Here is a 26,407-nt window from a genome sequence, read left to right on the forward strand (position 1 = left end):
ACCTTTCATTGCAGTTCAGCCACTCACATAAGAGCTTGTGTCTGTTTTTCCACAATTTCAGCTCTGTCTCTACAGGAGATAAGACTCCCACTCCTGAGTGGTAATCTTAGCAGATTTGATACTTAGCATCTGCTTCTGAAGCTGGGAGTTAGAATCCCTGAGTTCATCATTTTCTTTCATCCTTTTGTCAAGTGAACTTAGGAGCAACCAACCAACTTCATTTTGTTCCTTTATTCTCCATATATAGTCACTAAACTCCTTGACTCTCATGAGCAGTGAATCAGGGGTGCCAAATGCTTTTATTTTTCATAACTATCTAAGCAGTCCATGCCAAGGACTATCAGTGTTCTCCATACTATTAGAGTAGAGTCCTTAGCATTTTGGGGTCTAATCATATTAAGCAGCCACTCTAGAAACCCTAAAAACAACAGAAGAACTCCATTATTAATAGTCTGTTCCTCTAGAACCACTCCTGATATGAAAATCTGTGTTAGTCAAGGTTCTCTAGAGAGACAGAACTAATAGGATATATATATAGAAAGGGAGGGAGTTTATTATGTTGTAGTAACTCACATGATCACAAGGTCCCACAATAGGCCATCTACAAGCTGAGGAGAAAGGAAGCCAGTCCAAGTCCCAAAGCTGAAGAACTTGGAGTTCGATGTTCCAGGGCAGGAAGCATCCAGCACAGGGGAAAGATGTAGGCTAGGAGGCTAAGCCAGTCTAGGCTTTTTACGTTTTTCTGCCTGCTTCATATCCTGGCCACACTGGCAGTTGATCAGACTGTGTCCACCCAGATTAAGTGTGGGCTTGCCTTTCGCAGCCCACTGACTCAAATGTTAATCTCCTTTGGCAAGACCCTTACAGACCCACCCAAGATCAATACTTTGCATCCTTCAATCCAATCAAGTTGAGACTTAATATTAACCATTACACTGTAGCTTCTTTGTTTTGGCCAGTATCTTCCACTTAGAATGTGTATATTTACCCAGTGACTATACTCCATTGTATCTGGGAAGTAACTAACTTGCTTTTGATTTTACAGGTTCATAGGCAGAAGGGACTGCCTTTTCTCAGATGAGACTTTGTACTTGGACTTTTGAGTTAATGCTGGAATGAGTTAAAACTTTGTGGGACTGTTGGAAGGGCATAACTGTGTTTTGAAATGTGAGGACATTAGAATTGAGAGGGCCATGGGTGAAATTATATGGTTTGGCTCTGTGTCTCTAACCAAATCTCACCTTGAATTGTAATAATCCCATGTGTCAAGGGCAGAACCAAGTAGAGGTAACTGTAGCATGGAGGCAGTTCCCTCATGTTGTTCTCATGATAATGAGTGAGTCTCATGGGATCTGATGGTCTTATAACAATTTGACATTTCCCCTGCTTGCACTCAATCTGTTTCCCGCAACCCTGTGAAGAGGTGCCTTTTGCCATGCTTGTAAATTTCCGGAGGCCTTTCCAGCCATGTGGAACTGTGAGTCAATTAAACCTCTTTTCTTTATAAATTACCTAGTCTCAGGTATTTCTCTACAGCAGCCTAAGAACAAACTAATATCTATCTATCTATCTATGATCTGGCTATAGCTATATATATATTATATATATAATATATATTATGATTTTTATATATATATGATTTATTATGAGGTATAGGCTTATGGAATTATAAAGTCTGAGAAATCCCATCTGTGCAAGATGGAGACATTGGACAGTCAGTGGTGTAGTTCAAAAGCCTGAAAGCCAGAGAGCCAATGGTATAGATTTCAGTCTGAGTTTGAAAGCTTGAGAAACAGAAGGACCAAGGGCAAGAAAAGATTGATATCTCAGTTCAAGTAGGCAGAAAGAGAATGAATCCTCTCTCTTTCATCTTTTTGCTCTATTCAATTATCAAGGGACTAAATGTTACCCACCCACAATGGGGAAGCCAACTCAGTTCATTCAGTCTACTGATTAAAATGCTAATCTCTTCTATAAACACTCCCATGGACACACCCAGAAATAATGTTTAATCAGCTATCTGGGCATCCTGTGATCCAGTCAAGTTAACAAAATTAACTTTCACAAATACTCTAATTGTCAATGTGGCACTTATATTCCTCTCCTTACATACTTAAATACTATGATATAAAGCCAATATATCTTATGTTACATGATAAGAGAATAGGAGACAGAAGAAAACCACAGTATTATATACACAATATATACACAACCAAAAATGCATTTATAAAAAAATGGGGAGATCATATTTATTACAATCAAAATTATCATTGCTGTAACTGGTCATGTAGTCATAGCTAGTATTTATAACTACTTTATTCAAGTATCCATTCTGTATTCCCTTTGTCTTCAGGAAGCACCTCAGCTGGTAGTGTTTTTTTGTCTTTTGTGGTTACCCAATTTTTTATTCCTGAAGGGCTGTGATCACTAACAACCTTGTCTTCATTGGGCTGTTGTTTCCTATTAACCTTAATCACAGGGCATGGTAATACTAAGCAAAACTATAAGGGATCACCCACACTCTAGATGTATTTTACCTTACCTACATTATGGACTAGCAGTCCAATTTCCCCTTGGTAGTCAGGATCAATCACCCCAGATAGTACTTTAACTCCCTTCTTTGCCTATTGATTGAGAAGCATGAGGAGTTCAAAGCGGCCAGGTGAGTCTTAGCTTCCATTTCAATGGAATCATTATTGTATCTCCTAATGGAAGGACTCCTCCCTTTGCAACTAAGACCTCCAGCCCAGCACAGCACAGGGTTTGGGAAAAGAAAATAAATATTTTGCTAGTGAGTCATTAGTGGTAGTAGTGAGGGTTTTCACTCCCATTTCTGCTCCTTAATTCCTAGAACCATGAATGCTGGCTGTAGGAGAAACAGGATCATATATCCGATGCTGATACAGAACATACACAGCCTTCTAGAAACCCTTTCCCCATTCTCTCTCAACAAATGTTCTTGCTTTAGCAAGAACACGCTGAAAGACTTGGAGTTTAATTTCCGTTATAATTCAGCCATTCATAGGATGAGATTCTGCATCTCACTTTCTGCAATCTCAACTCTGTGGACACCAAAAATAAGAGTTATCTTCAGATGACAATAAGTCCTCAGGTCACTTATGCTTCTGGGAATTTAAATCCTAAGTTCATCCTTTTCTTTCACCACTTTGTCCAGTGACATTAGGAGCAAATGGCCAACCTTATTATATTTGTTAGTTTTCCAAAACTGTTCAAAAGCATCATCTACACAGTCATTCAGTTCCTTGCTTTTTATAAGTGGTATCCAAGGCAGATATTTTGTATATCTCTATTACCAGATTATGTCATGGATGTTAGTGCTCTCTTTACTACTGGAAACAGAGTCATCCAAACCTTTACATCTAATCAGATTAGACAATTTATTCCAAAATCTACAGCATCAATCTGGGAAACTTATTTATAAAATTCTATTTCTGTAAAACCACTCCCAGTACCAATATATGTCTTAGTCAGGGTTATCCAGAGAAATAAAATCAATAAAATCTATCCTCTGAAACCTGGAGACCCAGTTGGTGTAATCTGAAGGCCTGAAAGTCAAAGATTCAATGGTGTAATTTTAGTCCCAGTTTGTAGGCCTGGCATTTCAAAGAAAGGAGAGGAATAGATATTCCAGCTCAATCAATCAGGCAAAGAAAGAGTGAATTCTCCTGTCCTTCACCTTTTCTTCTATTCAGACCCTCACTGAATTAGTTGATATCACACATAGAGAAGGGCAATGAAGTTTACTATGTCTATTCATAAAAATGCTAATTTCTCCCATGAATACCATGACAGAGACACTCAGAAATATTGTCTAAATAGATGTCCTGATCCCATGATCTAGGAAAGTTAACACATAAAATATGACAATCAATAACTAATAACTTTTCAAATGAAAAACCACAATATTTGAATGGTTTCACTGCTGAATTACACCAATTGTTTAAGAAGAAACTGTAAAATTTTCCACAATCCCTGTCAGGAAGTAGAAAAAAATGAGAATGTTTCCTAACATTTTTTATGAAGACAGTGTTACTCTAATACTAAATATAGATAAAGCCCTTACAGAAAAGAAAACTAAAGATTATGAACACAGGTGAAAATTTCACATGAATACAGATTCAAAATTTTTCAATAAAATATTAACAAATCAAACAACAACATATAAAAATAATTCTACACCATGATCAAGAAGGAATTACTCCAGGTATGCAAGACTGTTCTACATCCAGAAGTCAGTGTTATCTACCACATTAAAGACTAATAAAGAAGAAAATTGAATAATTATATCAATAGATACAGAAAAAGCATTTGAAAATACATGAAACCTATTCATAATAAGAAGTATTAGCAAATTAGAAGTAGAGAGGATGGGAACTCCCTGTATTTGATGAAGACACCTACAAAAATCCTACAGGTGGAATCATATTTAATGTTGAGAGACTGGAAGCTTTTCTCCTAAGACTGGGAACAAGGCAAAGATAACTTCTCTCATCATTTCTACTCAACATTGTACTAAAAGTCTTAACAAGTGCAATAAGACAATAAAAGAAATAAAAAAGATAGAAAAGGAAAAATTAGAACTATCTGTGCTGAGTTTATATTATTATCTATATAACAGATCTCAAGGAATTTGCAAAAACAAGTAGTTTTTTAAATCTAATTATAAGATCTCAGAAAACAAGGTCAATATACAAAAGTTAGTTACTTATTAAGAAATTCATCCTTTGCAGTGAGCAATGAGAAACAATATTAGTTTCTAAAAATGCCATTTACAATTGCACAGACATGAAAATAAATACTGAGATATAAATCTGACAAAACTTTTTAATAATCTACATGTCTTTTACTACATGTGCAAAACTACAAAATTCTGATAAAAGAAATTACAGAAGATCTAAATAAAGTGTGATAAGTTCAACATTACTTCACTATTGTTAAGATGTTAATTCTTTCCTATTTGATGAATATATTCAATGCAATCCCAATTTTTTAGAAAAATACTCCTTTTTAGATATCAACAAACATATATATAATGTTTATATGAAAAGCCAAAAAACCTGAAATACTCAATAAAAACTGAAAAAACATAAAGTTGGAGGATGCATGCTACCCGATTTTAAGACTTACTATAAAGGCACAGTGTCAAGACAGTGTGGTATTGACTAAAGAATTCACACATAGTTCAATGGAACTAGTGGGTCCAGAAATAGGCCTCATACAAATATAATCAACTGATCTTTGACAAAGGAGCAAAATGCAATTCAATAGCAAAGGAATAGTCTTTGCAATAAATGTAGTGAGTGGTGCTGCAACAATGGGCTATCCTTCTGCACACACATAAAAAAATGAACCTGGAGACACGAACCTCAGAGCTTCACAAAAAATCAACTTAGAATAGAACATAGATTTAAATGCAAAACTACAAATATAGGAGAGAATTTAGAAGACCTTGAATTTGGCCATAAGATTTTGGATACAACCACAAAACGATTCTGTGAAAGCTTAGATGTTACTAAAATTAAAAGCTTCAGCCCTGTGAAAGTCACTGTTAGGATAATTTTTAAAAAGTAATAGACTGGGAAAAAATTTGCAAGACATGCATCTGATAAAAGGCTTGTATCCAAAATATACAATAAACATTTAAGACTCAACTATAAGAAAACCACATTTGAAAGTTGGCAAAAGATTTAAATAGACACCTCATCAAAGAAGATACACAGATAGAAAATAAAGATGGTCAACATCATTTGTTACCAGAACATTGCAAATTAAAACAATTAGGAACCACTACTTATTTATTAGAATTGCTAAAATCTAAAAATCTGATAATACTTAATACTGAGAAGAATGCAGAGTAACAGGAACTCTCATTCTTTTCTGGTGGAAATGAAAAACTGTACAGATTCCTTGGAAGACAACTTTTCAATTTCTTTTTTTTTTTTTTTTTTTTTTTCTGGGACGGAATCTCACTCTGTCGCCCAGTCTGGAGTACAGTGGCACAATCTTAGCTCACTGCAAACTCTGCCTCCCGGGTTCATGCCATTCTCCTGCCTCAGCCTCCTGAGCTTTTCAATTTCTTATCAAGCTAAACATATAATTCAGCAAGCATGCTCCTAGATTTTTACTAAACTGATTTGTTAATTTTTGCCCACAAAAATTCTATTTATATTTTTATAGATGCTTTATTCATAATTACCCCAAACTGGAAGCAATCAAGACGTTCCCCAAGAGGAGAACAGATAGTCTGTGATACATCCATATGGTGAGATAATATTCAATGATAAAAAGATAAGAGCAATCAAATCATGAAAAAAATGAAAGAATCTTAAATGCAAATTTCTAAGTGAAATAAGCCAATTTGAAAAGGATACAGACTAGTGATTCTGATTATGTGACATTCCACAAGAAAGAAACCTATCAGGGGTTGCCAAATGTTTGTGGGGAGTAAAGGAGGATGGAAGAATAATTGATGCACAAATGATTCTTCTGTCAATAAAGCTATGATTATATGCTGTATGATACTGTAATGGTGGATACATGGCATTAGGTATTTGTCAAAACCAACAGAACTTTACAGAAGAAATAGTAAACCTTAATGTACGCAAATTTAAAAAGAAACATATAGTATGTCTGGAGATCCCTGACACCATCTAAGCAAAAAAAAAATCTAACTGTATTTCACATGTGTGACACAACCTCACTGAAGTTGGTAGAGGAAGAAAATGTGCTAACCTAAGTTACTTTATATACGATATAAATGAATTTTATTTGTCTCATGAACCCTGTACTTTAGTTGACAAAAATGTTTTTGTTAAGAGGTAACTTAGGTTACAAGTGCTCTGCTGAATGAATTGATTAATGCCATTATCTTGAGAGTAGGTTAGCTACCTAGGAAGTGAGTTCTTGATAAAAGGATTAGTTCAGCACTATTCCTATTTCTCTGTCACATGCATACATGCTGTCTTGCTCTTCTGCCTTCCACCATGGGATAACACAGAAGGAAGGTCCTTGTTACATGTAGGTTCCTCAACCTTGGATTTCCCAGTCTCGAGAACTGTAAGAAATAAGTCTCTGTTCTTTATAAATTACCCAGTCTAAGGCATGCTACATTAGCACAAAACGGACTAAGACACTATCTATCCATCTACCTATATGTCTATATATCTACCTAATCTATCTGGCTATTTATCTATCTATCTATCTATCTATCTATCTATCTATCTATCATCTATCTGTTCCCACCTAAGCAGGTGAAAGTAAGCTACCTTATAAAGCAGAAGATAATATACACATCAAAACACTCTCTTACCTAATAAAGACTGGTACGTTAAAGGTAGTGGTACACTGCTTTTACATCTCAATGTTTATTTGCTCATTTGTTTTTCCCAACTGTGAACAAAATGTTATGAAAAAGCTATTATAATAGCAACTAGTATGCAGCTCCACCATCTTTAACTTAATTGGAGAGAGACATAAAGAAAAATGTTTGTTCTTAACATTCTTGCAAGAAGAAGCAATATGCAGAGAATGTTTTTTTCTCTCTCTCTCTTTCTCTGTGTTTATGTATACATTCATTAATCTATACTTATATACATTAAAATTCAGTTTTTTAAAATAAGTAAGAAAATGGGTGTTTCAGTCAACTAAATATTCTAATTAATTCAATATTTTATCCTGTGAGATGTTCAAAAGATCAAATATTTTTAAAAGTCATAATAATCCCATAAAATTACTTAGATAGTCACTCTTTCTTCCTCATCTTTTGTCTAGGTCACTCCTACCATACTGAACATGAATTTGATAATTTTTTAATCTTATTCACGCACAAGCTTAGATTTGATTCCTTATTTTATATTTATAAACTATTTTTGTCTTGCCGCTGACTTTTTTGTATCAGATTGAGTTTTATACTACTGTTTTATTTAAGCCCTTTCTTGCAATTACCATCATCCTGCACCAATATAGAAATTTCAGTGTGTTTCCTTCTTCCTTGAGCTCACAATGAGATCTCCTGTTATAGGCTGATGGCTACAGGCATATTTTACTGTCATAATTTTCACAGAACTCACACACTAATAATCCAAACTAACCCTAAAATTATATCAAAAAATTAATCTGATTAGGATGATAATTCACAGTCACATAGTGTTTTGGAATCTTTGTGGTGAAAATAAATTGTTCGTTTAAAACTATTGACTTAGAAGTCGGACTCTATTATTGTGTAATGACTGAAACCAGAAGTAACATTTTTCAATATATCTCTATATAAAGAATATTCTCTGATATGGTTTGGCTGTGTCCCCACCCAAATCTCATCTTAAATTGTAACTCCCACAATTCCCACATGTCCTGGGAGGAACCGGGTGGGAGGTGATTGAATTATGGGGGTGGATCTTTCCTACGCTGTTCTCATGACAGTGAATGAGTCTCATGAGATTTGATAGTTTTAAAAATGTAAGTTTCTCTGCACAAGCTCTCTTTTTGCCTGCTGCCATCCACGTAAGATGTGACTTGCACCTCCTTGTCTTCTGCCACGATTGTGAGGCTTCCCCAGCCATGTGGAACTGTGAGTTCTCCATTATACCTCTTTCCTTTTTATATTGCCCAGTCTTCAGTATGTCTTTATCAGCAGCATGAGACTAGACTAACACATTCTCATTTTGTGCGTTTTGGAGAAAAAATAATACGGCAAGAAATTCCATTTTTGAAAATTATTATTGCTTAAACTTTAGATAAATGGGAATTGACTGTGTTTGTTTACCCTAACATGGACTAGGTGCTGGCAAATTACAACTGCAATTTTGTTTCTGCAGCCTCAAATTTAATCTTTTATTTTGTCAGATGTGGCTAGGTGAACAATTTCCAAAAAAAAAAAAGACTAAAATAGTGAGCCTTAAAAAATCCTATTTCTCTTCTAGACTTGGATCCCTAAGTACCAGTCAAGGAAAATATCTAATTTCTTCAAGGAAAAAGAGTCCATATTTCTTTTGAAACATATCATGTTGCCATAGTTACCAAATGCTCTCCTTTTATTTCCTAACAATAATATCACCATCTAGATACACATAGCTTACAAAAGTAAATGTTTTATTGTGGAATTTTATAAGGACACAGGATCTGCTTCCAATGACTTTCAAAAAAATTAAAATGGAAGGATTCTTTCTAATAAATACACCTGAGTTGAAATTAAATGTTTTCTGAGCAAGAGCATAGGAGAAAAGGAGGAGCAGAGAGAAACTGAAAAAGACACATACAGTTTTAACATTTCAAAGGTGAAGGTGATTTAAATTAGGATTTGGGCATGGCTGTTCTTCTCCACCCCAGTGTATATAAACATTCTCATATGGGTTGCCATGTCTCCAGGAGTGATACCTTCATCTGGACAGGCCATTAGAAATTAAAACATATTTACACATATACACATGCACATCTTAGAATAAGAAAAATTATAAACCAGCTTATTTTTATTTGTCTTGCCAAATATAAACTTTAGAGACAAAATTTTAAATAAAGCAGCAACTATGAAAATAAATAATGAGATTCCTGTGTACAGAATTACGTAGTTGGGGTTTACATATTTGAAATCAAGCTCCAAGTAGAAACGAATCAGTTTTCTCTTTCTTTTCTCTTACTTTTTAAGAAGCTATCACAAGAATTTTATTTACAGGAATTTAAGGTGGAAACATATACCTTTTGGGGAGTAAATCATTACTAAAAACATAATTAATGTGGTCATTTTGAACAATATTATCAAATAGTTACCTCAATGAATCATAAAAATCATCAAATATGTACATGATTTGAAAAATCTTGAAAACTAAGAAAGTTGAAATATGCAAAAAGTAAATTTCATAGTCTACCTTTATAGATAAAACATCAATAGCTAATATTAAACTATAAGCATTATTATTAAAATATAAACATTAATTGAAAATTTAAAATTAAATTTAAAAATTAATTAATTTCTTTATATCTTCCTATTTCATACTTAAAAGGTTTCTTATTCTAGCCTACACGGTGTATCACAAACTGCAAATTACAATACTTGATGTTTTAATGCACTATGTCGGGGGGTGGGGGGCAAGGGGAGAGAGGAAGAGCATTAGGACAAATACCTAATGCATGCGAGGCTTAAAACCTACATGACAGTTTGTTAGGTTCAGCAAACCACCACGGCACATGTATACCTATGTAACAAACCTGCATGTTCTGCACACATATCCCAGAACTTAAAGTAAAATTTAAAATAAGAAAATAATAATAATAAAGAATGTGTTATTTAAATGTAATCTTTAGCATTTCAGTTTTGTTTACTGGAGTAATAATCTCAATATTATTTTTAAATATAGAGAATTCAAAATTATTTAACATAAAGTATACTTCATTTTATTTGTAAAGTTTTACCCATCATTTTTAAAATGAATGATTTAGGCAGAGCATTACGGCGTTTGAGAAAAACTGGCCTTCATTGTAAGTTGACTGTAGGATTTATTGATACAAGCAAAAGATGCATAAAAAAGAAAACTTTTTCATAATTTTGTTTTTCAAAAACTTATATATGCATATGTGTATGTGTGTATGTATGTGTGTATATTTAAATATGTATCATGTACTTTAGAGAGATTTTTACATCTAGTATGGCTCTTAGGATAAAGGCCATGATTCCCATAGTATAAGTTTTCTCGATTAAAAAACTAGCTTTGTGTGGTGGTGGGTGAGATGTTATATTGTTTACTTCTTCAAACTCTGTTGGCCTGCCTTAAACTTATTTTGGTTTATTATTGTTTGTATTTTTAATTGTATGCTTAGAGGGATCCTTTATCTTTCCAATCAGCCTTGTCCACGTCTGAATCCCATCTCCTTTCACCTTGAGAATTTTTATTCTCAAGAGGTCAATTTTTTTTTCTGTCTTCTTACTCTCATTTCCCACTACAGGAGGCTTATCTAATTATAAACAATAAAGAAATGATTTTGAAATTATCTTTTTACTTATACACCCAAACAGGTATCTGTAGATTCTTTCTTATCTTTTGCTTACCCATTTCTGAAATGTTCCTATACCTAAAGCCAGATGCTTTTTTTTTTTTTTAATCTGCTGCAGTCTTTTTGGACAACTTAGTCCTCTTCCAGTCGCTTCACCTCTCACTCATAACTTGCTGACTCCAGAATCTATAACTCTTTAATTATCTTCTGAGGTCCTGAGATATATATATATATATATATATATATATATATATATATATATATATATATATATATAAAATATAAAATATATATATACACAATGTTTTATTGAAACTTCCCAATTATTGCATGTCAGGTATTCTCATTTCACAGACCAGCAAACAGATACTTACAGAAGTTAAGTATTACAGCAGGTTTACTCAATTAGCACATGTCCAAGCTAGTATTTAATCCAAAACTTTTGATTTTTTTTCTATTATACACGCTTTCTTTCCATTTTCTTGAATTCCAGTTTTGTCTACCAGGGTAAAGTAGGTGATTGTTAAAGAAGGGAGGCTTTAGAATTTCTATCTTTTTTATTTTTTATTTTTTTGGAACCCACTTGCATGAATTTTTCAGATTCCGGAAATAATGCTTTGCAATGAATGAGGTAGTACTTTTAATTCTATATATTTTTGCCATAATGTCTATGCACCCAGACTGTGAAATAAATTGCACTGACCTGTGTCTTTAATGCCTGTCACTTAAAATTTTTCCAAACCACCTTAAATGTTGAAGTTCATAAAATTGGTAATGCTCGACGTGGGGGGAAAAAAAACAACAGAAACCACTAAGATGTTCTACTTTATGGTCTCTGCATGACATCTAGTGGTTGGAACTGGAAAATTTGAGGAAATTATGATTTGTACCAGGGAAAATACAATCTGTGTTAGTCTGGAGTCCTCATTCCTAACATCAAAGGAAACATGATGTAGATATCCTTTACTTCCAAAGAGGTTGGCCACCGGAGGGTAGGCCTTTCTTAATCATTTCTGTTTCTCAGTCTGTGTATCAGGGAATAACAATTTCTCTCTGTGTTAAGCAATCCGTGCTCACTGGGGCTTGTGAAACATTGGTCTGTAATGAGTACCTACTTTTGATGGATATGAGTTGGATAATTATAAGATTCAAAAGTAAATAAACCCTTTGGTTTTCTTTCTTTATATGCAAGTATTAATGATACTAAATCTATGACCCTATTATTCAAAACTGTATTTAGGAAAACTTTTTGTATACTCCAGTTTTGATTCTTCTAAAGAGGTTATAAAATCAAGTAACTGCTTAGCTTTGAGTCTTAGGATAATATTGGGTGTAGGTCCTTGATAATCCAAGATTTAGGATCTGCCTACCAGAAATTTTAGTCAGCTTAGATAACTGACAATGGAAAATAGTACATGATATGTTCTAAATAAATGACAAGCCAATATCGTAGGGATGCCGCAAAGGATTTGGAGTCCAAGAGGTCAGAGAAGGGATCACGAAGGAGGATGGATTTGAACTGAGCTACAGTTGATAGATGGGCAGCTTAAGGTATTGTTAAGCAAACAGGCAACAGAGTGAGATTCCTGGGTGTTGGCTTTCCTTCAGTGTGACCTTGGACAAACTATCTAATTGCTCCACATTTTACTTTCTTCATTTGCATCACAGTACGTACATACATAGACACATAGCATCTATTTCTTGTGGTGAAGATCAGTATAATGTCTCGGTTGGCAAATTATCAGTTCTTTTTATTATAAATAAATTAAAAATGCAAATGTTTAGGTCAAGTGTTATTCTCTGAAAATGCACAAAGAGAAATGAGCCAAGAGAAAAATAACTAATAACAAATAAATATATTTCTGACACCAAGACAAGTCCAAGAGAATTTAAAAAGTAATTATAAATATTTTATGGTAATGTATTTCAAATATACATGCTGCAGATTCCACGATTTATGTCATGGGGATGGATCAGGAGTCCTTGAAACCTGGCACTTATTAATAAATGTTGTTTCTAATTTTCTATCACTGCAAGGTACTCTTATAGACACCATGTGAACAAATCAAATGTTACATCTCTGGGATTATAGGCTCATAAAAAATCAACACCTAGGGCATAACTTGAATCACAGTAACTTCATGCATTTCAAATGGGATAAAGTCAGCCAAGAAGTGTTTAGGTTTGCAGTCGATTGCTCAAGATTATGGTATCAACCAACTCTGGAATTAACTTCTGGGATGAAGAGTAAGAAGAAAGTAAAATCACTCCACATAGGCTCAAAGGAGACTTTTGTTGAAGTGGGTTTCCCCATGGTCTTTGAAGTGGGTGAGGCCTAGTGCTTGTTAAATCCAGGGGCCTTGTGATGAATGAAGTATAAGAGAGATTGCTGACAGATTTGAAATCCCACAGTAGTTGTTTTGTCCTTTGCTTTGAGAAGGTTGGTGATAATTAAACTGCTTTTCCAGCAGAGTCTTTGTTCCTAACCCAAGTATCGTATTTAAAGAAGAGCCAAGTAGTACAGGCATTTTTTGATGATGACACTAATCTGACTCTGACCTATCTTCTTCCATGTTTATTTCCCAAAACATACACATTGGTAGTTGAAGTTATTTCCTATGAAGTGACCAAGTGACTTGGGGCCTGTGTGTGTGTGTGTGTGTGTGTGTGTGTGTGTGTGTGCATATGTTTATGGATGTGCTTCAAGAAGGCTCAACCTTCACCTTCTCAGGATCATTTAGTTTCAATGTCATCTTTGCCTCTTTGTTATTTATCAGCAGGAGATAGCTGACCAAGCTCAGTGCTGAACTCAAGCAACGCTGGCATGTCTACCCTTGATGTTTAACAGACCTGAACTAAACAAAGCATATTCAGTTTGAGTCATTTTAAATATTTGGTCACTTTTTAACTCCATGTAAACCTTCTGGTTAAACCTTATTTCAAATAGTAAAAGAATCATAGCTTGAATATAGTGCCTGACTTATGACAGTTTCTCAATAAATAGTTTTGATTTATAATCCTAAAAGTAGGAGTACATTTGCTGCTGGAGGACAAATAGACTTAAAAATAATATGTAATATAACTTTACATCTGAAATAAATAATAACACTATCATAGAGTTTAACTCTTCGTTGCCTGCCTTTTTAGCTTCCTTATCCTTTTAATTTCTGCTTCTTTTTTTGTTTCTTATTTTTCTTGTAAATAGGTAGGATCAGATATATAAATATCCAGCACGGGCTACGTGCTGGAGATGTAATCAGCATTTTGAGTGTCCTAACTACTCAAAACACGCTTTTAACACATGAGTAGAATTTGATATTTTAAACAGATTCAGTACTTTATTTTCGTATGTTGATAACATGTAAAAAATCTATGTATTGCCAGTTTCTTTTTTTATCTGCTCCCCTTTTTCTATTGTATTTGTATTGAAATGTTAATTTTAACACATAATATGTATATAAATTTTAGATCCCTAACATTTTTAATAGTATGTACTTTTTGATCATACCACAACTAGAGTTTCATAGCAAAGTTCCCTGTTTTATTAAAATCCACCAGGGGATGTTTTCAACTTGTGAAATAACTTAACTGCAATAAACCTGGGCTGAGCTAGTGCTTATGATTAGCATGTTGGCAATGATCAACTGATTAGGGATATATTGACATGTCAAAAAACGTGATGAGGGAAGAAAGGAAATTGCTGCTTCTCAGTGTTTGTAAGTGCCAAAACAGATATGTATTTTATATTGTGAGAAAAGGGTTGATGTGAATTTGTCTAAAGAGCAGGATGTGAAAAGTATTGTTTCTATAAGAAAAAATCATCCTGGATTCACCAGTATGCAGAGAAAGCAACTTTATTCTTTTTTTCTCTGTCTCACTAAATAAAATCTCTAGCAGAACATACCACTCCTGATAATTACATGCTCAGCGATTGATGTTTTCACATTTCAAATGGTCCTACTCATTCAGTACCAATACATAGTCCAATCCATCATAAAAAGTCCAAATGACAAACATGTATCTGTTTAACGTTTCTTTTCTCCCCTAACTTGGGCTCACTCCAGTGTTAGGAGCCTGTAGTGGAGGGAGAAATGTGATGGCTTTGTTTCCTTCTCCTTACCTTACTTTCTCTTCTGCTACCTTGCCTAACAGATAGGGCCCAGGTAAGCTGATATTTGGAGTAGTGAATACAGGCTTACGCGTATGGTACACCAGAGATGGTGTTGGTACTCTCTGGACTTGGTGAATGAATGTTGAAAGTGGAATTGTCTTCCAGTAGGATGATAGTGAAGGTTACTCTTAGACTCTTTCTGGGGTCCTTTGGCCACTATTTTTTGAAGTGAGCCATTGGACTTCACCTTGTCTCTTGCTCTTGCTGCAGCTGCGTTTTCTCTCTTGATGGTAGTCTTGATCAAGATCCTTTTACAATAACACAAGCCTAGCATGTTCTTAAATCTAGTCCTTGAGAAATCCATGCTTTTGCTTTGTCATTGTAAAACACATAGATCGCTGTATCCTTGTTCAGTAAGCTACAACATACTCGTATCTCCTGAAATCCTGGGCTTAAATCGAGGTCTCAAAGGCTTTGTTTTGTTTTGTTGTATGGTTGTATGGGTGAGTGTGTGTGTGTGTGTGTGTGTGTGTGTTTATTCTCCTGAAATTCTCCTCCTCACTTGACTTAAGCTAAAAGATAAACGTCCTCTTCCTTTCAGCCACAGATGGTGATGGATAAATTGAATGTCATTCACATTATTCCCTTAAAATAAACTCTCTCCCTCCCCTCTCCCGTCTCATCCTTGTCCCTTTCTTTATATAATGGGTAATGCGTTAATGTCAGCAGAATAGTTTTGGGGCCATAATGGCAAGTATCACGTGGATGGTTTAGCATTGTTTTTAGAATGCTGTGAATTTGGGTATATGTGAGTTTTGGGGAAAGTTTTGCAACTATATGTTTGTTAATTAAATGAGGACTATAAAGTAATATAAAATTATGTTTCTGGAACATATTTTGGAAGCTATAAAGTCATCTGTATTTATTATCCACAGACATAATGTCATTGTTCAGGTCCTGCAACCTTCTTATAATCAACATACGTGGGCCCAGGGATTTTATGTATCTTCGCCTTCCTAGTTTCCGTGGACAATCATTCCTCATACAAAAAGAAGGAATTACCCATGATTTAAGATCTTTTCAAAGTGATCCCCAATAATGACATCTGCATTATTTTAGCTTGGAAATATCAAAGCAACAAAGATACAGACCTCTGCACAGTTGGCTGCATGTTTTGAAAGATAATGTTCCACAGGCTAGTAATACATCTCTACAGGCTGAATTATGGAGAGGAGGTGAGGAAAATGAAATGAAACCGAGAAGATAAGTAGAAAAGTTAAAAAAAAAAAGTAGTAAATTTCATAAGTCAGACGCAAATGCTAAAGAGCTTGAGTTTCTTATAAGAAATAGCACTGGAGCAACAACAGGAGGGAAAATATGTACCTTATGTGCAAAAATATCTTCTTCCTGGATTTCAGAAACTAATAAAATTTTAGTAGATTTTAAATGCAAAATCTTATTACCAAGTGTGTTTTCAATAACACCCATTATTATTAAAATTTTATATAAAAGTGAAAAATGCCAGCTATTGAAATGTAAGCATAATGTTTTTAAATTAAAATCTGTAATTCTTCCACCTAAGGTGCTGTTTTACAATGCCTTCTTTTTTCTTTCAAAATCTGTCTCACTCAATAACTGGCTTATTTCTAAGACACTAAACACAATGATAAGGAGAGAATAATTGTTCTATGCCTGATTTTCTTTGAAAAGTATGATGAATTTCAACAGAAGCTATTGTAAAATTGACTGATATGTTTGAGGATATTGAAGTATATGTAATACTTTAATATGAATTATTTTGACGTGTCACTTACTGGTAGTTATTCAAGCCTGGCATTTTCTGCTCTCAAATAAAATTGAGGCATATGGATTAATTTGAATTGCAGCTAATGTGTAATTCGTAAAGAAACTGTTCTGACTCAAAAGCCAATTAATGCATTTGCCTTACATATATAACGAACTATTGAAAGACAAATGCAGCACTCTTCATTACGTTTTAATAGATTCTAAATTCCCAACATACACTAAGGTTAGAATTTTCTCAAAATAGTGATTCTCAGTATAAATGTTACATATTGTTTCACTGTGCTTTGCATTAATATTTCTAAATCCTTAAAAGCAAAGGCAAATTAGCAGTAGTATAGGATTTAGGGCCTTAGATATTTAAGTTTTCCCATACTTAGATTGAAAGAAGTAATATATTTTTTAACAATGCAAATTATTTTTATCATTTTAGACTATGTCTTAGATTTTTATACATATTAGTATGTCAACATATAATTTAAAAGATATTCTAAGGTAGGAAAATTGTACAGGCAAGGCTAGAAGAAATGTATAATAGTTAATGTGGTCCCTTAGGGCTAAAAAAATCAAAAAGCCATTGGCACCCATGGGCCTAAAGGGACAAAGAGAGAGACTGATTAGTAGCACACATAGAAAATAGCCATAGTCAGAGCTGCTTGACAGGGGCTGCAACATTCAGTGGATGAATGTGGAGAATAAGTGGTAACTCAGCAGAGAGAGCAAGGGGGAGAAATGTTCAAACTTATTGTCTATTTGCAGAAGACATTGTCTTATATATTGATATGGTTTGCCTGTGTCTCCACCAAAATCTCATCTTGAATTGTAGCTCCCATAATTCCCACATGTTGTGGGAGGAACCCCAGTGGGAGATAATTGAATCATGAGGGCAGTTTCCTCCACACTGTTTTCATGGTATTGAATAAGTCTCACGAGATCTGATGGTTTTATAAGGGGAAACCCCTTTCCCTTGGCTCTCATTCCCTCTTTGCCTGCTGCCATGTGAGATGTGCCTTTCACCTTCTGCCATGATTGTGAGGCCTTCCCATCCACGTGGAACTGTGAGTCCACTGAATCTCTTTTTCTTTGTAAATTACCCAGTCTCAGGTATATCTTTATCAGCAGCATGAAAACGAACTAATATAGTAAATTGGTACCGAGGTAGTGGGGCACTGCTATAAAGATACTCTAAAACGTGGGAGCAACTTTGGAACTGGGTAACAGGCAGAAGCTGAAACAGTTTGAAGGGCTCAGAAGAAGACAGGAAGATGTGAGAAATTTTGGAACTTCCTAGAGACTTGTTGAATGGCTTTGACCTAAATGCTGACAATGATATGGGCAATGAAATCCAGGTGGAAGTGGTCTCAGGTGGAGATGAGGAACTTGTTGGAAACCGGAATAAAGGTGACTCTTGCTATGTTTTTTTTTGTTTGTTTGTTTGTTTTTGAGTACTCAGGCTGGAGTGCAATGGCGCGATCTCAGCTCACTGCAAGCTCCGCCTCCCGGGTTCACGCCATTCTCCTGCCTCAGCCTCCCGAGTAGCTGGGATTACAGGCACCCGCCACCACGCCTGGCTAATTTTTTGTATTTTTAGTAGAGACGGGCTTTCACCATGTTAGCCAGGATGGTCTCAATCTCCTGACCTTGTGATCCGCCTGCCTTGGCCTCCCAAAGTGCTGGGATTACAGGCGTGAGTCACCGCGCCCGGCCGGACTCTTGCTATGTTTTAGCAAAGAGACTGGTGGCATTTCGCCCTTGCCCTAGAGATTTGTGGAATTGTGAACTTAAGGGAGATGATGTAAGGTATGTAGCAGAACAAATTTCTAAGCAGCAAAGCATTCAAGAGGTGACTGGGTGCTGTTAAAAGCATTCAGTTTTAAAAGGAAAACAGAGAAAAGTTCAGAAAATTTGCAGCCTGAGGTGATAGAAAAGAAAAACCCAGTTTCTGAGGAGAAATTCAAGCTGGCTGCGGAAATTTGCATAAGTAACAAAGAGCCAAATATTAATAGCCAAAACAATGGGGAAAATGTCTCCAGGGCACATCAGAGACCTTTGTGGCAGCCCCTCCCATCACAGGCCCAGAGATTCAGGAGAAAAAAAATGGTTTCGTGGGCTGGACCCAGGGCCCCCTTGCTGTGTGCAGCCTAGGGACTTGGTGCCCTGCATCCTAGCCGCTCTAGCCATGGCTAAGAGGGGCCAAGGTACAGCTTCGGCCATGGCTTCAGAGGGTCCAAGCCCAAACCCTTGGCAGCTTCCATGTGGCGTTGAGCCTGCAGGTATACAGAAGTGAAGAATTGAGGTGTGGGAAGCTCTGCCTAGATTTCAGAAGATGTATGGAAATGCCTGGATGTCCAGGTAGAAGTTTGCTACAGGGGCAGGGTCCTCATGGAGAACCTCTGCTACGGCAGTGTGGGAGGGAAATGTGGGGTTGGAGCCCCCACACAGTGTCCTCACTGGGGCATTGCCTAGCCGGGGAGCCTACTTCTTGCATCAGTGTAATCTGGATGTGAGACATGGAGTCAAAGGAGATCATTCTGGAGCTTTAAGATTTGACTACACTTCTGGATTTTGGACTTGCATGGGTTTTTTTATCCCCCGTTTTTGGGCCAGTTTCTCCCATTTGGAATGGCTGTATTTATCCAATGCCTGTACCCCCATTTTATCTAGGAAGTAACCCCACTAATTTGGTTTTGATTTTACAGGCTCATAGGCAGAAGGGACTTGGCTTGTCTCAGATGAGACTTTGAACTATGGACTTTTAAGTTATTGCTGAAATGAGTTAAGACTTTGAGGGACTGTTGGGAAGGCATGATTGTTTTTGAAATGTGAGGATATGAGATTTGGGAGGGTCCAGGGGCGCAATGATATGGTTTGTCTGTGTCCCCACCCAAATCTCATCTTGAACTGTAGCTCCCATAATTCGCACGTGTTGTGGGAGGGACCCAGTGGGAGATAATTGAATCATGGGGGGCAGTTTCCTCCATATCGTTCTCATGGTAGTGAGTAAGTCTAACAAGATCTGATGGTTTTATAAGGGGAAACCCCTTCCACTTGGTTCTCATTCCCTCTTTGCCTGCCACCATGTGGGATGTGTCTTTTGCCTTCCACCATAATTATGAGGTCTTCCTAACCACATGGAACTGTGAGTCCATTGAACCTCTTTTCTTTGTAAATTACCCATTCGTAGGTATGTCTTTATCAGCAGCATGAAAACAGACTAATATATATATAGATTATACTAATGGATCTACAAATGTTATTAAAACTAAGAAATTAGTTCAACAAGATTGCAGGATACAAGATCAATATGTCCATGAACTAAGGCATTTGCATTATTAAGAAAATATTAGTATTTAGAATGTATTAGTACTTTCCAATTTTATTTACATATTTGAAGTAATCCCTGTCAAAACCTCAGATGGTTTCTTTACAGAAATTGACAAGCTAATCCTTAATTTTATATGAAAATTTAAGGGATCCAGAATCGTCAAAATGATCTGGAAAAAGAACAAATTTGGTAGAATCACTATTCCTGATTTCAAAACTTACCACAACACTACAATAATTAGACAATGCTATACTTATATAATGGCATATATTTGAGAATCCAGATATAAAACTTCACATTTATGGTCAATTAATTTTCAACATAGGTGCTGCAACAATTCAACAGGGGAAAGAATAGTGTTTTCAGTAAGGCTGGGACAACTGAAAATCCATGTGCAAAAGAACAAAATTGGACAACTGTTTTACACTGTACACAAAAATTAACTCAATATAGATCAGAGACTTAAATGTAACAGCTAATCCTATAGCATTACAAGAGGAAATGGGTGCACAATTTTTGTGATCTAGAATTGGGCAGTTGCTGCTATTCTCACCCCAGAATAACTTAACACCCACAAATTATTCTAAAATGTGAGTATTTTTAACAACAAAAAGCTCTGCTTTGCTCTATCAACAAATGTCACTTATGTTTGTAATTTGTGACACTTATTCATATAATCCAGTAGCTATATATTTTGAACATGTTTAATATTAGTACATTTAGTTATGATAATTCTGAAAACTATTTCAGATATAATAAGGATAGAGGTATTCATTGCTATTGTGCGGTTGACTTTCTTTTTGTCTTGTTTCAACAACTGCATACGTAAAGCCTTTAAAGAAATTTATTAATGAATGTTGTGAACTTAGTAAGAAATCAGAAAAGTTAACAAATTATCTATTAAAATGGTCCTGTTATCTAAGTTGGAGTACATTCCTTCATTATGAAGGCTTTTAAGTGCTATCATTTTAAACTTATTTACATGACCTCTTCTTCCTTTTCGGTGACAGCTAAAATCCACTTAAATTTAATATCCACTTGTGACTCTTTCTGAATCCACTGGAAGAGCTCCACATCATTTTCTGTACCAGCGAACAAGATGAACAAGCTGCATCTGATCCATGAAACTCAATTTCTGGGGCACATGCCCCCACCCAGCCCATGAGCAAAGACAGGGTCTTGAAATTGATCAATGACACTGGAAAGAGAAACATTCTCTTTCTCAAATTGGTTATGCTGTTTCTTTTTTCCCCTTCTATCAATGAATTATTCATTTTTCAGAGGTCATTTCTGCTAGTTCCATTTCTACACATTTGCATGCACATACACAAATTTATTATATAATTTTCCTCTTAAAGATTACTTAGGTTCTTGCTGTGTTTTGCTATCAGTGAATAATACTTTGATTCACACACAGAAGTTCATGTTTTCACACATGTTTAAGAATCCTTATAGAATAACATGCTAGAAGTATAAATTTGGGGGCAAAGAACAAATCTGACATTAATTTTAATGAGTAATGCTAAATTATCCCTTTTCAAGGAGAAGCTTTAACAATCTACAATTCCACAATAACTTCAAAGAGTGTGAATTTTTCTATGGCCTAGACAATACTGAGTATTAGGTCTTTCAGTGTTGTCAATCTAATGAATAAAAAAAGTTATAATGTTGCATTAATTTTCATGAGTGTTTGATTTGGAATATTTTTACATATTTGATAGGTCATTCATTTATTTTCTTCAAACATTTTATCTCTTTTTGTTTTGCGTTATTTGAGTATTTTTTATATACTGGTGATGTTGATATATTATCTCACATATTTTACAAAGCTTTTAGCTCTGTATGTCTTTCTGACATTTAGTAAGACATTAATATATGTATTTATAAAGCTATTTTTCCGGTGTATGTTATGGATTTTACATTGTTCTAAGATTATTTCAGTTTATTATCTTTAATTATCTTGAAGTGTATTAAAATTTCTTGAATTTTCTATATTAGTAGTTCTCATATTTTAGGGTGCATAGGAATTACCCAGGATGCTTGTTACAGCACAAATCACTGGGTTCAGCAGGTCTGTGATAGAGCGCCTGAGACAATGCATTTCTTTTTTTTTTTTTTTGAGACGGAGTCTCGCTCTGTCACCCAGGCTGGAGTGCAGTGGTGCGATCTCGGCCCACTGCAAGCTCTGCCTCCCAGGTTCACGCCATTCTCCCGCCTCAGCCTCCCGAGTAGCTGGGATTACAGGTGCCCGCCACCACGCCCGGCTAATATTTTTTTGCATTTTTAGTACAGACGGGGTTTCACTGTGTTAGCCAGGATGGTCTCGATCTCCTGACCTTGTGATCTGCCCACCTCAGCCTCCCAAAGTGCTGGGAATACAGGCGTGAGCCACCGGACAATGCATTTCTAATAAGTCTAGAACCTGCAGCTGCTGCTGGTTTAGGGCCACACTTTGAAAACTATATTTTCGTATAATAATTATTTAATATACAAATATTGAGTGTTATCTTCAGAGTTAGGTAGGATTATAGTATTTTATAGAAAAATATAAAGGAATGATAGCAGTATGCATGTTTTATTATTCATTATAATAAAAATTTTTCTACTATTTTATTATGTATTATTGCAGTAGGGCTCCAATGGTGTGAATCTTTCTCCTTTGCTAAGTATAATAAAATGTTTGTTTTTGTCTCTCTTAAGTATGTTTATAGTAGGTTTCTACCTGTGGCTTATAGTAATAGAGTTAAAATTTCTTATTTTTTAGTTTAAGGGTTTTTTTAATTGGCAATGAATACAACATTTTATCAAATTATTTTGACATTTAATAATATGATTGCCTTATTTTTTCAGTCTTTTCATGCGATGAATTATATCAATAGATTTAATAATGTTGAGACATACTTGTATAATGGAAGTTATCTTAGTTGTGATACTCAGTATTATTCTGGTATTTAATTTATATTTGATTCTGTTTAGTTCAAAACTGTAGTCTGAGATGTTACTTTGCAAGATCAAAAATTAGTATGCGAGAGCTATATATGTACATATATACATACATATATATACATATATATATATATATATACACACACACATAATTACAAGTATTCTGATTGGGGAAACGATTATTTTCTCACAGAGGAACTTGTGCTAGTTCCCCATGATACTACAAGATGTCATGCAGCAAGCTTCACACCACAGGAGAGGAGGCTCCAAGTTATGAAAATAGCACCTGTGCAGGAGCTACTAGCAAAACTGCCCATGCTCCCTGAGAGAGAAAGAAACCTTTGTTCCAGAATCTAAACAAGTTGTTTCTCAGAGTCAAGACATGTGTCACTGCTTTACTACCCTGAAATACAAACAAATGGATACGGGGAGATATATCTCTATATTTCTCTGGAAGCATCTGTCTCTGACTTCCAAGGATTATTTGCTATTCAATCAACTTTTAACTTAGGTGGCAGCACTCTTTGCTTAGAAAGCTCTGAATATGTAGATGCGAGGACTTATTCATGGAACATTGCCTCCCAACAGGTCCCAATAATTGTTAAACTGTTGAATCATCATGGCTTTTTAAAGAAACTGACAAAAGATAGAAAACTTGTCCCAGAAAACAAATCAATTTTCTGAAGGTTTTTAAGCTACTGAAGCTCACTCATAGATTCTTAAGAATTTCTACATTTGACTGCCAAGCTCTAAAACACAAATGTAGCCGTGCCACCTCCTTCGCACTCCCCATTTTCAAATTATTTTCCATTTTCCCAGGGTCTAATGAACTATGCACTATGTACTTATTCAGATTACTCAGTCTGGCACACATGGTCACCAACAGCATGGCTCCAATTAAACTTCCAATATGATTTCCCAGTAGAGCTGTTATTCTAACTATCCTAGTTTACCTCATTCTACTTGCCCGCTTTCATTCATCCTTTCTTCCTTCTTTTTCACTCATACCTATTAAAATTCTTACTAACTCACAGGCTAATTCTTACATAAAACCATTTCTAACATCTCCAATTGAAATACTACCCTAATTATTTTTAGTATCTATTAAAATAAGTTTCTGGCCTGCACAATATAGTGAGATCTCATCTCTACAAAAAAAAAAAAAAAAATTGTTAAAAATTAGCCAGGCATGCTGGCATACCCATAGTCCCAGTTACTCAGGAGGCTGAGGTGAGAGGGTTGCTTGAAACTGGGAGATAGAGGTTGCAGTGAGCCAAGGTCACGCAGCTGAACTCCAGCCTGGCCAAAAGAGCAAGATCCTAGCTCAAACCAAAAAAATAAATAGTTTGCATCCCTTGTATAACATTTAATGTAGTATCTTGGATTATAATTTCTTTAGTGCCTCTCACCCCCAGTAAATTGTAATCCACTTAAAGAAATGAGTCTTAAATTTAATTTTACTACTTGAAGTTTTTAGAAAAATAGCTTGTCCATAGTTGGAAATTAATCAATGTTTCTAAGGCATTATAAAAATGTTATGATGCTATACCAATCATGTGGTACTCATCTTCTCTCTTTACTCAAGATTTGCTTTCTCTGAAGAAAGCGGAATTGTGAACAGGTGTTGAAGGCACACATCATGAGATATTGTGGAGCAAAAGAGCACACATAAATATTGATGTTTATCCCATGTATTTATGGTTTGGGGGTTGAGAGAACTATGTTGATGTCAGAATCAACAGAGTTGGTGTTAAAGGGCAATTCCTTTCTATTTTCAGGCAATCTACACATCATGGTTAGTAGGTTTCTAAATAAACGTCAAGCTTGGATGTTTTGTAAAATATTAGTTTCAGTACAGTACTGTTACATGATGTTACATCAAAGATTTTGCATAGGTATCCATCTAGTTGCTCTACAGTGAATAATTGGGTGGGGGAGAACATTGTGGATGTTCTAATTACTGCACTTCATGTGTTTGCTGTATTTAGAAATTTGAATATTTCCAGTAAGTAAGCCAGGTATTCTGGATTTAAGTAAATACAACTTCAGCTTTAGTAGTTGTCACTGTATTTCCTCTGACAGTTTACTGTGTTTCTTTCTCTCTTTTAAAACTTCCTCTTCTACTTTAAGTACTTTATCCATTCTGTTTCTAGGACTTGTCATCCTCTGCTCATTCTCCACATCATTATGTTCTTTTACTAAGAAATTTTATTTCCAATCTCATTTCTTTTTACCCCAGATAATTTTTTTCCTAATAATTTTTTTTCTAGTTTTGATTTCAGCTGCCAAATATTTGATCCAAAATGGTTCTCTTATTCTCAGTGGTATTCGGATTCCTTCATTGAATTTGCCTGCACTGGAAACTAAACCAGTCAGAAGAACCCTTTGGTGGGACTTTGGTTCTGGATTTCATTCAGGGACCACAGAGCTGCTCTTGAACTCAAGCGTTCTCAAGAAGACACTTCAGTGCTCTGCTAGTAAAAACTGTGTATCCATGCAAGTTCAGACTCATTACATAAGCATTCCAATTTTTTTTGTCACAAAGAAAATCGTGCACATCTGCTATTTAAATAGTCTCTGGCTAAAAAAGTTGTTGCTTCTATATAAGAAAGCATAGCTTAGATATACATTACAGTGTTTCTTATTGTCATCCAACACACACACATTCTGTTTGCTTAATCCATTGCAGTCTCCTTCTCTGCCCCTTTTTACCCAAAGTTCCTTTCTTGGAGTGAGATGAGGGAATGAAGGAAGGTTTAGATTTAAATAAACAGACTGTAGGGGTTTCCTGAGGCTATCACATGGTGGATGCCTCTGCTATAAAACTTTGTCTTAATAAATAACATTATATTCACATGAATATTGAGTTAAATTGATTCATTTTGTGTGTCCTTTTAAAGATTGACTTTGGAAGTCTCCCTTTTTAGGAGATTTTAGAATTGTGTTGGAGAAATTGGAATTTCATTAACAACATATAGTCAATGCAGGTAACTGTTTCAGGTGCTTCCTCAAAGCAAGGATGACCCAGGAGAGATACAATCATCTTAGTGTGCTTTATGTGATTCATATGAAATTCAACCCTTTTGGAGTTTCAGTTCTTAGCAAAATACCACTTCCTGTTTTTGAGGAAAAAAATGGCATAAGAAGTCATATAAAAAGACTCATAAGGCCCTTGGACATCAAATAACTCTTACAAAACAATATTTTAATGAATTAAG

General features: G+C 35.3%; 1 long non-coding RNA gene across 1 annotated transcript in view; it reads left to right on the top strand.

The window, feature by feature from the left end:
* Window positions 1-8,463: 8,463 nt before the first annotated feature.
* LINC01697 (long intergenic non-protein coding RNA 1697) overlaps window positions 8,464-26,407 on the top strand; it is an 89,196-nt gene continuing 71,252 nt past the window's right edge. Inside the window, exon 1 of the long non-coding RNA NR_126010.1 lies at window positions 8,464-8,587. This is a non-coding gene — a long non-coding RNA (long intergenic non-protein coding RNA 1697). The remainder of the gene's footprint in view (window positions 8,588-26,407) is intronic.

This window comes from Homo sapiens, chromosome 21 (genome assembly GCF_000001405.40).
Source record: "Homo sapiens chromosome 21, GRCh38.p14 Primary Assembly".
Lineage (NCBI taxonomy): Eukaryota > Metazoa > Chordata > Mammalia > Primates > Hominidae > Homo > Homo sapiens.